Source organism: Homo sapiens, chromosome 20 (genome assembly GCF_000001405.40).
Source record: "Homo sapiens chromosome 20, GRCh38.p14 Primary Assembly".
Lineage (NCBI taxonomy): Eukaryota > Metazoa > Chordata > Mammalia > Primates > Hominidae > Homo > Homo sapiens.
In genome coordinates this window covers 9,212,243-9,229,339 of record NC_000020.11, presented here as the reverse complement: position 1 = coordinate 9,229,339, position 17,097 = coordinate 9,212,243, and the positions used below count along the sequence as shown (strand labels likewise).

The window sequence follows — 17,097 nt, the reverse complement described above, 5'->3', positions numbered from 1 at the left end:
ACACTTGTGATAGATCTGAAAGCACACATCCACTGAAAGCAGCTTCATTCTGTACCCGTTTAATGAGATTTTAGTGTTGCTAGTCCTTCCACGCCCGTAGGGAAATAAACTCTCACAGTGGATGAATCAGACAGGAGACTGTAGTCCACACTTCCTCTGGAGATCCTTAAAAAAGGCTGCTTTATGGGATGACCTTTAAGAACCACTCTTTTTGTATATTAAACAAAAATAATAGCTATCATTTATTAAACTCTCACAATGTCTTAGGCACTCTCTAAGAGCATGGGGTTTGTTTTATTTTGTTGTTTGCACCAGATGAGAATGTTATCCTCACAGCGATGCCAAAAGCTCCTGCCAAACCATGAAGACCAAGGACCTAGTGGTGAGTTCTGGCTGGCCCGAGTCAGGCCTGTTGATATCAGCTGCCTCTTAGGAATCTGCTTCTCAGCATTCTCTCCATCTCAGCTTTAGGAGGTTCTGCATGGGCCCAGAAGTCAACCTTCTCTACCCATGAAGATGGCCCTGGGCCTTCTGCCCTAGCCCATTTCTTTCTTCCTCCTTTAGTTTGTCTAATCCAAGAAGTTCTCCCATTATAGTTACTGAAGTGTTTCACTCAGTGCTCTAGGCTCAGCAGTGTCTAATACATATACACATAAACACACATATACACATAAACACACATATGTACCTACTTCTAATTGTATTTTGATGAGGGTCAGCTGAAAAATACATGTGTCTCCTTCTTATAGCTTCCCATTGTCAAGGTATCCAGTAGTTAAAGCCCTTTTCTATCCACCCCCTAACCCCCAGGAACAATCTCTCAGCTTCCATTAGATGAGGACTTTAAAGACCATCTGGAAGTGCTTAAAGAGTAGTTGCTAAGGATCCACAGACAAAAGTTCTTTCCAAAAGGAAAATCCTACATAGTCTCCTCTACTCAAAAAGGAATGGTCTAGAGGTCAAACATACTGGAAACAAATGTGACTTATCCCAGGAAAATCACCTGCCTTCTTCCTTACTCTCTCTCATCACAATTCTGATTTTTTTCCTGATTTTGATGCCTGTATCACAGCTTTCTTTTACATAAGAGAAAGTTGTTTTCAAAATTGCTTCTATAATTGAAGGCAATAACTAGTACAGGCAAACATATGCATAAATCAGGACAGTGTCTAGTTATCACTGCAAATGAGAAGCTCATACATTTGCTCTTTTCCAAAAGGCTGCTGGAATATGGCCCCTTGGAATTCTAACAAGCAGCTTTAACTTAGCAGTCTGTGCGCTGGCTTTGCTTTGAATACCACTGATGTAGTTCTCATCAAGGTTTCCAGGGCTTCTAGAATGTAAAACTTTAAGCAAAAGAAGCCCTTGGATTGTAGCATGCCTATAATAACCCCATATGCAATCACATGATTATTTACTGGAGTTGCTTTCTCCTGAGCTATAATACCATAGTTGAAAAATCACTGCAGGACAAAACAATAATAAAAGTATTACATTTTTATTTATAAAATAAAACTCTTCCTTCAAGAGGAGCCCCCCAAGTAGCCAAAATAATAATGGGAAAGAACAAAGCTAGAGGACTCACATTTCCTGAATTCAAAACTTACTACAAAAGACACAGTAATAAAAACAGTGTGTCAGTGACATAAGTATAGGCATACAGAACAATGCAATGGAATTTAGAATCAAGAAATAAACCCACAAATCTACAGCCAATAGACTCCTGACAAGGGTGCCAAGATGATTCAATCTTGGAAAGAATAGTTTCTTCAATAAATGGTGCTGGGGCAACTGGATATCTACATGCGAATTAATGAAATTAGACCCCTACCTCACATCATATTCAGGATGGCTCTATGACTTAAATATAAGGGCTAAAAATCATAAAACTGATAGAAGAAAACACAGGGTGTAAATCTTAGGGTAATTCTTCATAAACTTGGATTCTTAAATATAACAACAAAATATGAAGGGATCTAACATATGACAAGAAAAGTGGGAAAAAAAGAAAAAATAGATACATTTGACTGTCAAATTAAAAACTTTTGTGTATCAAAAGATGTTATCAAGAAAATGAAAAGACAGTCTACAGAATGGGAGAAAATATCTTCAAGTCATATATCTGAAAAGGATCAAGTGCCCAGTACATATAAAAAAAAAAAGTCTTACAATGAATTCAACAACATCAAAAAAGCAGACAACCCACTTAAAAAATGGGCAAAGGGCAGAGAAGAGGTATAAATGATCAGCAAGCAAGTGAAAAGGTGAACAATAGCATCAGTCATTAGGGAATATAAAGCAAAACCACAAGGAGGTACCATTTCATACCTACTAAGAAAGCTCTAATTTAAAAAAAACAAACAAAAAAAACAAAAAATTAGTGTTGGTGAGGATGGAAAGAAATCAGAACACTTGCTGTTGCTAATGGGAAGGTAAAATGATTAGAATCCACAGAAATGTCACTGTGTAAAGTCCCAGGGACAGAGCACTATTAGGTAGGAAAAGGGTCCCAAAATGAGAATAATGTGATACAGTGAGCTCCTCAACATCGGTGCCTTGCAGACTCTTAATTCCTTTCTACTTGTACAGAAGAAAGAGCAGAAGCCCACAGAAGAGGAGGAATAAGTGAATTCATTAGAAATTAGTTCTGAGCCTCATGAAAATCTTGTTTTATAATATCAGCATCTATAGGAAAGGAAGGAAAATGGGGACGAAGATTCTCAGTATCTGCAATAAGAAAAGTCCTATAGATTCACCATCTCCCTGTCAATACTTCCAAAACCAATGAAAAAGGTAATACTGTGCTCATTTTACAGATGGGACAACCCAGGTCCCAGGTTTCAGAGCTCACATTCTTCCCACCACACTGTGATGTATCCAGCCAGGTGACAAATTTAAAAATCACCAAAATCATTCAGTTTTTCAATAAACTTCTACTTGCTCAGAAGAGTGAGTTAACTTCTATTTTTCTATTAGCTCAGTATGGGCTCTTTAACATACCTCCAATGCAAAAATGTAACGGCATCTATCCAAATTCTAGACCGCTTTATTATTACATGAGGAGTATAAAAAAACACAACTGTTGCAACAGTTTCTTACAGCTTATTTTTCACAGGAGGATTGCCTCCTCCCAGCTACCTGAATGGTCACTATAAAACCACCAGTCCTCCAGCCATACGGAAAGGGTCAGGAGATCACGTCAGCACTTTTACCAGCAGTGCCTCTGGAGTCTTCCTCAAACTGCTCTCTTCCTGCTTTTGTGACACTTGATTCCCCCCACAGGCCACAAAATATGGAAAGGAATGAAGCAGCTGATCTGCAAGGTGGTTGCAGCCAAGGTCACCGGCCGGTTCCTCTCCTGGGAGGGTTTATTTTAGTCTTCAGTCCTCAGCAAGCTGCCCTTTCCCACCTGAGGACAGCAAAGACAAGATGCCTGCTCTTCTTTTCATTTCAGAAAAGTAAAATAGTTAAGAACTTTTCAAATGCAACAATTTCCAATAACTTTAAACATTTTATTGATATATCAAAAAATAATCCAGGGAGCTGAACTGGATTTATATTGTTCCCTCTCTCTTATAGAAGCAGATAAAACAAAGCAAACATGCCCAATGCAGGGGAAAAAATCCATATTTCAGTTCTGGAAAAGATTCAGAATGCCCAATTTAACATGGGAGTGTGTGGAACAGGTGAGGAAACAAGAAATCCTATCTTTGGAATAAGTTCTTACTATTGCCACCACAAAGGCCCTCAGGAAATGACACAGAAAAACAACCGTAATACAATGACTTCAATAGCATACTCACAAGCAATATGTGACAAGCTCAAAGAAACTACAAAATCTAAGGGCAACGGCTAGAATTTTAGACTATTTTTCTAGACTCGACTGTTACATCTTTTCCAGGTCCCTTAAACCTTGAAGGTAAACTGAAGGTAGAACAATTAACAATGCTAATACAACCTTTTAAAAAGTTCACCTGAAAACCAAGACAAGCCTTAAGCATTTGTTAAGTAGGAAATGAACATTTTGTTTTCAAATGTATCCCACTACTATAATTTATGGTTAATGCTTCTCTTCTCTAACTTTTTCTTTTACAAAGTTGAAAAAAATTAATATTATGTATATTTATACAGCGTAAGTATATACTATGTGATATATATGGGTAGTATACCCATATACTTACCAGCTAGATTCTACAATGAACACTTTATGCTACTAGCTTTTTTGAATATCTAGCCCTTCATTCATCGGTCTATCCATCCATCAGCATTTTTTAATCCATTTCATAGTAAATAAGTTGCAGAACTCAGCATGCTTCACCTAAACTCTTACACAGCTGGCATTTCAATCTTTTCCAGTTGAAAGTATGACTTCACAAAAGAAAGGAGGGAAAAGAAAGCAAGTCAATGCTCACTATGCACCTAGTTTCAGAGCCCATGTTGAGGTAAAGATGAGATTGTGGCAAAGGAGAGGGATTTTCCTATGAAAACCAGGGCGAACAGTATTTGGTAGAATGTTGAGCTTAGCAACTGTTAGGAAAGTTCTCTCTCAAAGGTCATGGTGTTGGCCCCATGCTTTTCCCCTTTCCTTCTAATCACCTTGGGAAGAGAAACCCAGTTGGCCAGGGACAGCAAGAGACAGAGCAAAGGAGAATCAACCTAGAAATGGAAAGATGGTGAGAAAAACCTGGCAGTTGGCCAAACCGAAGAATTCTGTCTTCTGGAGATGACATCCTTAGGTGGAAAAGGTAAGACAAGTCTTTTCAGTAAGACCAGTAAGGGGTTAGAAAATTCTTCCTCCTTTTTGTTTTTGCTCTTTCTCTCTCCTCTCTCTCAATTGCTCCACAAATTAAAAAATGAGAGGAGAACAGCTGGGGTTGGTGTTTGCCCACTGCTTGGGAAGGCCTCTAACAATAAAGAAGGAAGATAATGAAAAATAAACAGAGGGCCAGGGTTGGCCATTTAGTGCCTAAGCAGAAGACTTCACATTTTGTTAAGGACTGTCCAGTCCAGCTTACTGGGTAAGGAGAGAAGAGAGAGCCACTGTATAGAAGGGTGCCCGGGAATGAAAGCTGTGCTCATACCACAGCGCTCCCAGAGCACAGCTCAAGAGAGCAAGATGGGTACAGGAGTGGCAATGGAGAGGGTCCCTGAGGCAGATGATATTGCCCAAAAATAGTTGCAATATTATCTTCGCACATTGTGACTTCAACACTCCTGTCTCTGAGAGTTGAACTCATAAGTCTCTTCCCTTTGAAACTGGGCAGACGCCATTTTGCTTTCCATGATTTCAGGTACCCAAGGTCAACCACAGTCCAAAAGTACGAAATGGAAAATTCCCGAGATAATTCATAAGCTTTAAATTGTATCCCATTCTGAGGAACACAATGCAATCTCTCACATCCAGAAGCATCCTTTTGTCTAGCTTATCCATGCTGTACACTCTAGCTACCCACTCATTGGCCACTAGTAGTTATCTTGATTATCAGATAGAAGAAATGTAACATATATAAAATTCAGTACTTAACACAGTTTCAAGCATCTACTGCGGGTCTTGGGACGTAACCCCTACAGATAAGAGAGGACTACTGTAATGTGATAGACGTGACCATGCATGACTTCCAAGGCCAAGTCATAAAGCAATGCTGCTTCCACCTGGTTGGACAGAATAATCACACTGAAGCCCAGGCAGGCTGTCCCCCTGCTCTGAAGCTGCCATGCTATGAGAATAAAGCTGCCCATGAAGAGAGACCACATAGAAAAGACCACATGAGACTGGGTGAGGAGGAAGAAACGCTGAGCCATACCAGCTGCCTGCTCTTCCAGCGTCAGCTGCCACCTGACTGCAACTGCATGAAAGAACTCAAGCCAGAAATGCACAGCCGGGCCCTTCCCTAACTCCTGACCACAGAAAAACTGAGAGGTAAAAAGGTGACTGCTGTTGTTTGCAGCCACTATATCTTCAAGTGACTTCTTACACAACAATAAATAACCAGAATAGGTCCCAACGTATATACTATATCATGGTGATATCTCATTTCATGTACTGCAAAATTCGACTCTTTGAGTCTGGTATCAGTTTGGCCACTAACTATACCTTTCTCATTGTATATGTAACACTCCAGCCCCATGAGTTTGCATAAAAGTATTATACCCAAACTTTTCTAGAATCCTCCCCCAAAACACACGATATACATATATAGATTTTTTTCCCATTGAAATTCCCTCCCTTTCCTCTTTAAAATTTTTCTACTTTCTACCCTCCATTCAAGGCCCACTATCTTCTAAGTGACCTTTGAAGGTTATCAGTGACATCTGAGCTGCCAAACCTAAATGTTTTAATCCTAATTCATGTACAACAGGGCACTAAATCCAAAAATGGAAGTAGCAATAGCACCTCAAGGACAGATCAGCTCACTCTCTCTGGACCACGGTGCTGCCTCATTTCCTTACTGAGTAGTGTTACCAAGCTGGGAGATTCAGAAGCACTGACTAAGAGTCTTATTCAAACAGAATAAGGCCTTTTACCAGAGTTTCTCTATAATATTCTAAAGTTGCACTGGCCAATATGGTACCACGAGCCAAATGTTGCTTTTGAGCACTGAAATATGGCTAGTCTTGAAAGCCGTTTTAAGTACAAAATATTCAGTGGACAAAAAAAGGTAAAACCTCCATAATGTTTACATTGATTAAATGTTGAAATAATTATTTGGATATGCTAAGTTAAATATGTAACTAAAATTAATTTCACCTGTGATTTTGGACATTCCAGCCTCCAGTTTAGGCTGCTGTAACCTCTTTCTTTTCGCTGTCTTAATGAAGCTACAAGAAAATTCAAAATGTTCTATGTTGTTCACGTAATATTTCTATTGGACAGTGTTGGCTGGTCTAGGACATCAGGTGAACAATCATGAAATTTTGTGCTGTACTGAATCGAAGGCACCCAAGAGGGCTGGGCACAGTAGCTCATGCCTGTCATCCTGGCGCTTTGAAAGGCTAAGTTGGAAGGATCACTTGAGGTCAGGAACTCCAAACCAGCCTCGTCAACATAGCTAGACCCCATCTCTACAAAAAAAATTTTACAAATTAGCCAGGTATGGTAGTGCATACTTGTAGTCCCAGCCTCTTAGGAGGTTGAGGCAGGAGGATAACTTGAGCCCAGGAGTTCCAGGGTGCAGTGAGCTATGTCAAGCCACTGCACTCCAGCCTAGGCAACAGAACCAGACCCTGTCAAAATAAAATAAAATAAAATAAAATAAAATAAAATAAAATAAAATAAAATAAAATAAAATAAAATAAAATAAAACAAAATAAAATAAATAAATAGAAGGTGCCCAAGAAACACTATATATTTCCCTTAAAAGCTTATGAAAAGAAAATACTTCCAAAGGCAAAGGTGAACTATTAGGAAATAAAATAAAGGATGGCTAAAAGAGATGAGAATGAAGAATAATGAAGTTAACCTGTGTGCCTGGAAATGTTCCTAGTAAGAATAATCTCCAATCATACAATCACATGACATCCTCACCTCTTCTTTCAGGGCACTGAAATCATTATCCATGATTTTACTAAGGAAAGCTTTGAAATGTCAAGTTTTCTATTTCTAAAACTCTAATATATGTAGAAATTCTACTCACTGAAAATTACCTAGGTGTCTCCCAACACTGCAATTACTTTAGGACTTAGCTCTTTGAACCAGTAGCTGACTCCATTCTCAGAGGAGGAAAAATAATCCTATGCAGCCTCTGAAAGTGCTTAACCTACACCAGGAAATGGGCTAAGGATTAAAAATGTGCCCGCAGGAGTGAGGCAAGGAGGAAGATGGAATGTGGATTGGTAAAGCAGACACTCTAGTGTCCTGCCCAGATAACACTGGGTCCCTTTAATCGTCTTGTGTGCCCTTTCCCGGCTTTTGTGTGCTTTGCTGCTAAGGGATGGTACCAACATTTCTTAAGAAAAACCTTCTTCAACCACCGAAGCTGCTTCACATGCAGATGAAGACAGCAGAGGTGCTTGGAAGTTTATAGCCCTCTCTTACCTGCCCACAGTCAGTGACTGATGCAGGAGTGGAAAAGCCCAGCTCCATTGCCTTGATGTGGAACAGACTCTAGGGAGCAATTATGTTCCAGAGCGGCCCACTGCACCCCCCAACTCTGCCCCCAGGATCAGGCTGGGGCAGGCACATTGCTTGAATCATCTCCCTGCTTGGCTTCTTCCCTTTCCCTTCCCTTCCCCCACTCACTAGTTTCTCCTGGGAGCCCTGCCTTGATAAACCACTTGTGCAGAAATCCTCTTCTCAGTCTGCTTCTGGAGAGCTCATCTCACGACTCTTGGCATGCATGAATGTGCTCTAAGAAAATGTGAAAGAAACCACAGGTTTTTGTGCTTGCTATTGTTGTACCATGGATAAGAGCTTCTGTAACACTCAAGAGTTTGAAATAACTAAAGTATTTACAGGGTAATAAGAAGGATCCTCATTCCTATAGAGCACTGCAGCAACCCTAGGCCACAGATCTTAGATCAAGAAAAAAATATGCTAATAGCTGGTACAACATATCTATGTCTCCAAGGTGTAAGAGAAGACAGGACAATGAGTAAGGCTCTAAAGTAGAGGCAAAATGAAAGAAAAGTCAACATTAAGTTTGGTGAGCTGCATGCCTAACACTAATGTTATAAATTCTGTATATAATTAATACAAACATTTTTTGAGATGGAGTCTCGTCTGTCACCCAGGCTGGGGTACAGTGGCTCAGTCTCGGCTCACTGCAAACCTCCGCCTCCTGGGTTGAAGCAATTCTCCTGTCTCAGCCTCTCGAATCGCTGGGATTACAGGCATGTGCCACCATGCCCAGCTAACTTTTTTTTGTATTTTTAGTAGAGACAGGGTTTGACCATGTTGGCCAGGCTGGTCTTGAACTCCTGACTTCAGGTGATCCGCATGCCTCGGCCTCCCAAAATGCTGGGTGGCATGAGCCACCGTGCCCGGTCTATAATGAATATTTAATTAAAACAATTTAAAAGGAAGAAAGCACCCCCAACATTAGATAGGTTTTTCAGAAGAACAGTGTATCTTCCAAACTAAAATGCCACAGGAGAGAAGTTATCAAGGGTTGTTTACTTTCTTTTCCTGAAACTTGAAAGCAGTTTTTGATTGGACTAAACTAAGGCATTCCTCTTCAGCAAGAGCCAATCTAAAGCTCCCAATGCAAAGGTCACTTAATGCAAGGGTGAGGATAATTCATCCAAAAACAGTCATTTTGTTCTCTAAATAAATATTTTCTATTTTAGGAGTTTATTGACCAACACTGTTTTGTTTTGTTTAAAAAAAAAAGCTAAATTGAACGTGACATATAAGCAAGATTCAAAATATACCTTTTGCCTTTATAGAAATAAGAACATATTCTGAATGCCTACTCTGCATATAAATAGGCCTTAAAAAATACATTTAGAACTAACATAGAGTCAGAGCTGCTCACCGTTGGAAGTGTGGGGAAGTAAAGCAGGCATTTCAAGACAAAACCAGAAATGCTCAGGTTCCAGAGTTTAGATGTTTCCAATTTTGAGTATGGGAAGATATTATAGAAGAATCAGATTTTAGTTCAGTGTTTTAAAAACAACTCACAATTCAAGATATGTAGCAAGTGAATGATGCTAGAGTAGAGGCCAAATGGTTTTATTTTTAGGAGAGGATGGAGGGACATATGGAAGGATTCTCTGGAAGAAAGGCAAGCGTAACATAAGCAACCAACCACCAGGTGACATCTGGGGCTCCAAGTCTAATCAGGTCCTATTGGGTGAGAACGAGAGTACACTGCCCATGTACTGTTTCAGCCCCAGGATCTGGAGCCATCCAAAGCCTCTGTAAAAGTTTTTTTTTTCGGAGTCTCCCTCTGTTGCCCAGGCTGGAGTGCAGTGGCGCCATCTCGGCTCACTGCAAGCTCCGCCTCCTGGGTTCATGCCATTCTCCTGCCTCAGCTTCCTGAGTAGCTGGGACTACAGGCGCCCACCACCATGCCTGGCTAATTTTTCGTATTTTTAGTAGAGACGGGGTTTCACTGTGTTAGCCAGGATGGTGTCAATCTCCTGACCTTGTGATCCACCCGCCTCGGCCTCCCAAAGTGCTGGGATTGCAGGCGTGAGCCACCGCGCCCAGCCAAGGCTTTGTAAAATTAAATGCATGGCATTTACACTCCTTAATGTAGAGGAATTTCTTCTTTGAACTTAAAATATTTAACAAAACTTCTGAGCTCTGCTGGGGTTCTTTTTTTGGACTCTTGAATCAAGTGTTTATATTCAATAAGCACATAACTCGTCATAGGAACCATTTATAAATACAGCTGATGAAAAATGACCTATTTAAGGATAATACAACTCTTAAACAGAGAAAGTGGATAGTCCAGATTAATGTGATGAAGGAGTGAAAAGCAGATGATGTGTCCACACTGATTTAAAGTCCCGAGAGAATTATTCAGTCCCTCCTACTCCCCAACTCCTCTTTGCCTACTAAGACATGGTTTATGAGTCATCCTTGGGGAGTAGTAAAAGATAGCGCACTTGACTAAAAATAGATAGGAACATTCAATAATAAATCTACTTTCTGGATATCTCTTGTCATCATTAAACACTGATCACTTAGAGAAGTGTCAGGTTGTGCGATTCTTCCTTCCCCTCATGGAAAGGCCGGAAGAAAATCAGCCACGGGCACTGCCAGAAGATAATGAAGTATCTCACATGATATGCAAAACGCTGGAGGAAAACACTCAGCCATTAAATGCCAACAGCCCAGAGGAACAGATCCTCCAGGAGGACCTATTAGGAGAAACAATAAAGTTGCTGGTTCACGCCATTACTATAAAATGACCTCTTGTTCCTGAAGGTAAGAAATGATACATAGTCCAAATGCTTTACTTGTAACAGCAATTTAAAAATAGCAATTTGAGCCAGGTTCGGTGGTTCATACCTGTAATTCCAGCACTTTGGGAGGCCGAGGTGGGCAGATCACGAAGTCAGGAGTTTGAGACCAGCCTGACTAACATGGTGAAACTCCGTCTCTGCTAAAAATGCAAAAATTAGCCAGGCGTGGTGGCATGCACCTGTAATGCTACTCAGGAAGTGGAGGCAGGAGAATCGCTTGAACCCAGGAGGCAGAGGTTGCAGTGAGCCGAGATTGCGCCACTGCACTCCAGCCTGGGTGACAGAGCGAGAATTCCGTCTCAAAAATAAATAAATAAACAAACAGCAATTTGATCAAGGGATTATAAAAGAACATGTCTCATATTCACTAGGATTCTGGCTCTGGAATACAAGTATTGGCAAGTTACAGTTTATAAATAAAACAAATCAGCCATATAAAGATATTTCCAGTTCCCCTTTTTGCGTTTCTTTAAAAGTTTGTAAAATGAACCATTAGGGGAGCACTGGAAGAATTTATTTACATCATCCCCTGGTAGTTCCCCCAAAATGGAGGATTTTTGCTGATAATGTACACAGTTGTGATTTTTCACATCAGTGGGAATCTTCTTAAGCAAAATCTGCACAGGACTGAAAACAAGTCACAGAAACATTTCTCCCCAGAAAGAATTGTAGACAATGATCACTTCAAAAACATGTGATGCTTACTAAATGCGGGCAACACTATTGCAGAGAGCAAGTAGAAAATCTAGCAAAGGGTAAAGTGCCCAAGGTTAGTAGTGAAATTAATAAAATTGAACCTAGAAAGTGCTGGGAGATCCTGCTTAATGCTCTGCCGCATCAAGGAAGATGTCTGTGAATCAGTTTTGAGAGGCATTTCAGAAGCAGCATCAGCCAGAATGAAGGGATTCATCTTACAGACTGAAAGTTCTAGAAACCTACAACCAAAGACTCTCCACACAGGCGGTAAAGTACTCACTGGGCAGCTCTGGACTGACTGCAGGTGATGTCCACTTCGTCAAACTCACAGCAGCACTGTCCTCTGAAACAGACACAGACAAGACAAATCGATGTAAAGGACTTTTAGAGTTTTCATGGAGAAAAACAGTCCTTTGCACTTCAAAATCAGAATCTAATGTAAATTTAAAAACGTCAGAAAAACAAAAAAAAATTAGTGGCATAAGTTGCAAACAAATGACACAGACACACAGTCATCATATCAGAATTATTACTGCTATACTCAGCCAACAGAGTTTATACACTCTCTCTACAATGCTGCTAATATCCTACTCACCCTCTTAATCTATTAAAATAATTAAGCAGCAATAGAACAACAAGGCTATCTAAAACCTTCTCAAAGTAAATATAATTATCTTTTCCTGATTAGCAGTATAATGTCCTTAGATGAACTGTAATTGGAAAAAACTCTTTTTATAACAGAATTACATCTATTTGCAAAGAGAGTCTTTTTTTATGGCTGTTTCCGTATTGTCTTTGTTATTAAGTTGTTTATGTTGATTCTGGATTTGACATTGGATTTCTGATTTGGCTGAAATCTAGATTTCAGGATCTTTTCAAGGTGGAGTGGGAGGAAAAGTTCCAGGTGGTGTCAGAAGTACACAAAAGTGGCCGGGTGCAGTGGCTCACACCTATAATCCCAACACTTTGGGAGGCCAAGGCAAGCAGATCACTTGCCTCAGGAGTGGAGTTCAAGGCCAGCCTGGCCAACATGGTGAAGCCCCATATCTACAAAAAAATACAAAAATTAGCCAAGTGTGGTGGTGCGTGCCTGTAATCCTAGCTACTCAGGAGGCTGAGGCAAGAGAATCACTTGAATCCAGGAGGCAGAGGTTGCAGTGAGCAAAGATCATGCCACTGCACTCCAGCCTGGGCAACGGAGTAAAACTCCATCTCAGGCCGGGCGCAGTGGCTCACGCCTGTAATCCCAGCACTTTGGGAGGCCGAGGCGGGCGGATCACGAGGTCAGGAGATCAAGACCATCCTGGCTAACATGGTGAAACCCCGTCTCTACTAAAAATACAAAAAATTAGCCGGGCATGGTGGCAGGCGCCTGTAGTCCCAGCTACTCGGGAGGCTGAGGCAGGAAAATGGCGTGAACCTGGGAGGCGAAGCTTGCAGCAAGCCGAGATGGCACCACTGCACTCCAGCCTGGGTGACAGAGAGAGACTCCATCTCACAAAAACAAACAAACAAACAAACAAAAACTCCATCTCAAAAAAAAAAAGAAGTACACAAAAGTAAGGGGAAGCCCATTTCCATATGGTAAGAAGGCAGAGGCAACTGATGACACCTGGGAAAACTGTGTCTATAAAGTTTGAATTGAAATTTGTGAAGGTCACGATCTATGTATAGAGATGACTACAGCACAGTCCTTTAATAAGGTCTCAGGTAGGTTGGTACATTCATATAATACAAGACTACACCATGAAAAACAAGAGAGGAAATCTGTACCTATATGAAAAGACATAGAAACAAATTCTCAGGTCATTTTATTAATTTAAAAAGTCTGAAGTAGTGTAGTAATATGGATACTATGGCTCCATTGTGTTAAGACAAACCTCACTAATCTATATGTAAATACACAGACATATATATCGTTATACACAAATAACGCATCTGGAGGGAAAACAAGAAACACTGAGTGTGGCTACCTCTAGCTCCCTCTAGGGGACCAGTACTAAAAGGAGATTTTTAAAGGGTAAGGTCTTTGATTTTAACCTAACATTTAACCATTATGTAATATTTTACCATGAAGCAAATAATTTTTATAATTAAAATGGAAAAAAAGCCAATTCACTCCAAAGTCTCTACAGAAAGCAACATCCCACTTCAAATATACAGAATTAGGGAATACACAGCATCATGTACCCTGACTTTACTAATTTAGTGACTATTTACTATGATGCAGGCTGGCTCTAAGCATGGATTGAATCATCATTTATAATCCACATAAAAACTCAAAAATGTATGTACTCTCATTTTATAGAAAAGGGAATGAAGAAGTTGAATATTCAAGAATCCCACAAAACTGGCATTCAAACCCAGGCACCCTCGCCCATGTTTAACCCCTACAGTGCCACTTCTTCCATGACATTTACCAGATTTTCAATCTTACATTTATATTTGTAATTATGTATTAATAATGAAGATACGACTCCCATGAAGACAGGGATTATGTGTTATTGAAAACCACTAGGTATTTCCCCAATACCTACCATAACGCCTGGCACAGAGTAGATGCTCAATAAATCTTTGTTGAATGCTGAATAATTAGGTGGCCTACCTACAGCTGGAATGTTAAACTATATGACTCTTTTATGTCTCCTGAGGCTATGAAACAGGCCGAGTTCCCAAAAAGCTCATTGATTAATGATCCTGCCATACCATGCTCCTCGTTTTGAGAAACCACTTGCTGCCCAAGTCATTTCGTAATCAAAGACTTAGAGACTGGACACATGTTTTCCCTTCTCTTCTTTAATTCCCTAGCAACTATCTAACATAAACTGCCTCATTGTTCCATAAACCTTTCTAATTCTGGGCATATATAAGATATTGCAACATGTGGGGAAGGCAATGTTGAAATACTTAACTACAAAGAAGTTAAGCAGTATAAGCAATTTGTCATGAACTATTTAGCTACTGGCATATCATAGCCAAACTATTGCAACTGACTTGGAGTTGTAGTAATATGTGAATGAAGACTCCAGCATACCAACTTTTCCTTTCAAATACTATTATTCTGGGTCATGAAGGGATTACATGGGGCTTTGGTAAAGAAGGGACTGTGTGCATGAGTGTGTGTGTGAGAGACAGAGGCTGTGTGTGTGTGTGTGTGTGTGTGTGTGTGTGTCTGGGGTGTTTATGTATGTCTTCCCACGTGTTTTGATCTTTCAAAGAAGAAAGATATTTTCCCATAATAGGTAAACAAAATTGCAAATCCCAGAGTTGTATCAGTGTTAATGCAAACAAAAGCTGTTTCATTCAACAAAGGTATCAAGACCATTCAATGGGGAGAGACAGTCTATTCAACACACGGTGCCAGGACAACTGGCACAAAGACCACATATGGTATCTCACACGCAAACGAATGAAGATAGGCTCCTACCTCACAACATGGACAAAAATTAGCTCCAAGTGAATCACAGAAGTAAAACTATAAAATTCTTAAAAGTAAATATAACATAGGAGTAAATCTTTGTGATCTTGGGTGGCACCATCCTTGTGACCAGAACAATGGTTTCTTAGGTGTGACACCAAAAGCATGAAGAACAAAAGAAAAAAGAAGATAAGTCGAACCTCTTTAAAAACTTTTGTCCTTCAAAGTACACCGTCAAAAAAGTGAAAAGAGAACCCACAGAACAGGAAATCTGATAAAGAACTTTTATCCAGGATGTAAGAACTCTTAGAACTGGACAGGAAAAAGACAAATAACCCAATTTAAAAATGGGCAAATGACCTGAATAGACATTTCCCAAAAAAGATATACAACCATGAAAAGATACTTAACCATTAGGGAAATATAAATCAAAGCCACAATGAGATACTGCTTCATAGCCACTAGAAAAGCTATAATCAAAAGACATAACAAGTGTTGACAAGAATTTAGAGAAATTGGAAACTTCATACACTGCTGGTGGAAATGTAAAATGATGCTGCTGCTTTGGAAAACAGTCTAGCAGTTGCTCAAATGGTTAAAAATGAAGTAACTGTATTACCCAGTAATTCCACTCCTAGATATGAACCCAAGAAAAAATGAAAACATATATCCATATAAAAATTACATGTAAAATTTCATAGCAGCATTATTCATAATAGCCCAATTGTAAACAATCCCAATGTCCATCAACTGATAAACATATTAACAAAACGTGTAGTACGTTCACATAATAGAATATTATCCAGCAATTCAAAAATGCAACACAGATACACATGACTACGTGAATTAACTTCAAAGAAACATTACGCTGGCTGGGCATGTTGGCTCACGCCTGTAATCCCAACAGTTTGGGAGGCCAGGGTGGGTGGATCACCTAAGGTCAGGAGTTCAAGACCAGCCTAGCCAACATAGTGAAATCCTGTCTCTACTAAAAGTACAAAAATTAGCTGGGTGTGGTGGCACACACCTGTGATCCCACCTACTTGGGAGGCTGAGGCAAGAGAACTGCTTGAACCTGGGAGATAGAGTTTGTAGTGAGCCGAGATTGCACTGCACCACTGCCCTCCAGCCTGGGTGATAGAGTGAGACTTTGTCTAAAAAAAAAAAAAAAAAAAAAAAAAAAAAAGTATGCTAACGGAGAGAAGCCAAGCACAAAGACCACATATGGTATGTTCCCATGTATATGAAATGTCCACTACAGGCAAATCCACAGAAACAGAAAGCTGACTAGTGGCTCTCTATGACTAGAGGAGCAGCATGGGATTTCTTTTTGGGGTAATGAAGATTCAAAGGTTAGATTGTGTTGATAGTTGCACAATGCCACGAATATATTAATACTAAAAACCACTGAATTGTACATTTTAAGTGAGTGCATTTTATGATATGTAAATTATACTTCATGAAAGCAGTCTTTTAAAAAAAGGCTATAATACACATAGTGAGTTTGCCAGTCAGCTTTTTCCAAAAATGAGAAAACACTCACATTCTTCAAGAAAACACAGTAAGTGATAAAATTTATATATATTAAAAAGTCTTATTGTGATTCTTCAGGGGATTCCTTGTGATGGAAAACATCCAATTTTATTTTACCCTGACAAAAGAAAAGCATACATATGGAACTGCCTTCAAGCCATAAGAAAACACCAATATTTTACTGTAAACCACCACTAATCATGCCACAGTGTTTTACATAGTCTTATTTCAAAGCAATGGGGAACTTTAGCCAAGGGTGAAGCTTTTATTTCTCAGAGGAGGAAGAAACCTACAAATATTTAAAGGTGACATTGCCATGCCTGTTTTAGTGAATCTATATATGTACTGAACACAAAAAGACTAGCATGTGATGTCCTCCCCCAAGATATTCAATATTCAGATTTTGTTTTAAAGTGAAGAGTAACTGGGCAAGGTTGAACAAAAACAGATCATTTTACTCTGACTTAATACTGAACATGGAAATGATTGTTTTGCAAGCAAACAGAATGTTGGAAAGCAGTTGTGTCAGTGAGATTGTG

At 39.7% G+C, this 17,097-nt stretch overlaps 1 protein-coding gene across 11 annotated transcripts in view, besides 1 other annotated feature; it reads right to left on the bottom strand.

The window, feature by feature from the left end:
• PLCB4 (phospholipase C beta 4) overlaps positions 1-17,097 on the bottom strand; it is a 412,131-nt gene that overhangs the window by 251,469 nt on the left and 143,565 nt on the right. For all 11 annotated transcript variants that reach the window (XM_024451898.2, NM_001377134.2, XM_005260724.3 and 8 more), the window contains one exon: positions 11,888-11,950. The gene's annotated coding sequence lies outside the window, so the exon portion shown is untranslated. The remainder of the gene's footprint in view (positions 1-11,887; positions 11,951-17,097) is intronic.
• Positions 10,411-10,611: a silencer, noted in NCBI's record as "peak4143 fragment used in MPRA reporter construct". NCBI's record gives its function as "represses an SCP1 promoter by STARR-seq MPRAs in K562 erythroleukemia cells {active_cell/tissue: K562}" and the evidence as "EXISTENCE:reporter gene assay evidence [ECO:0000049][PMID:32103011]".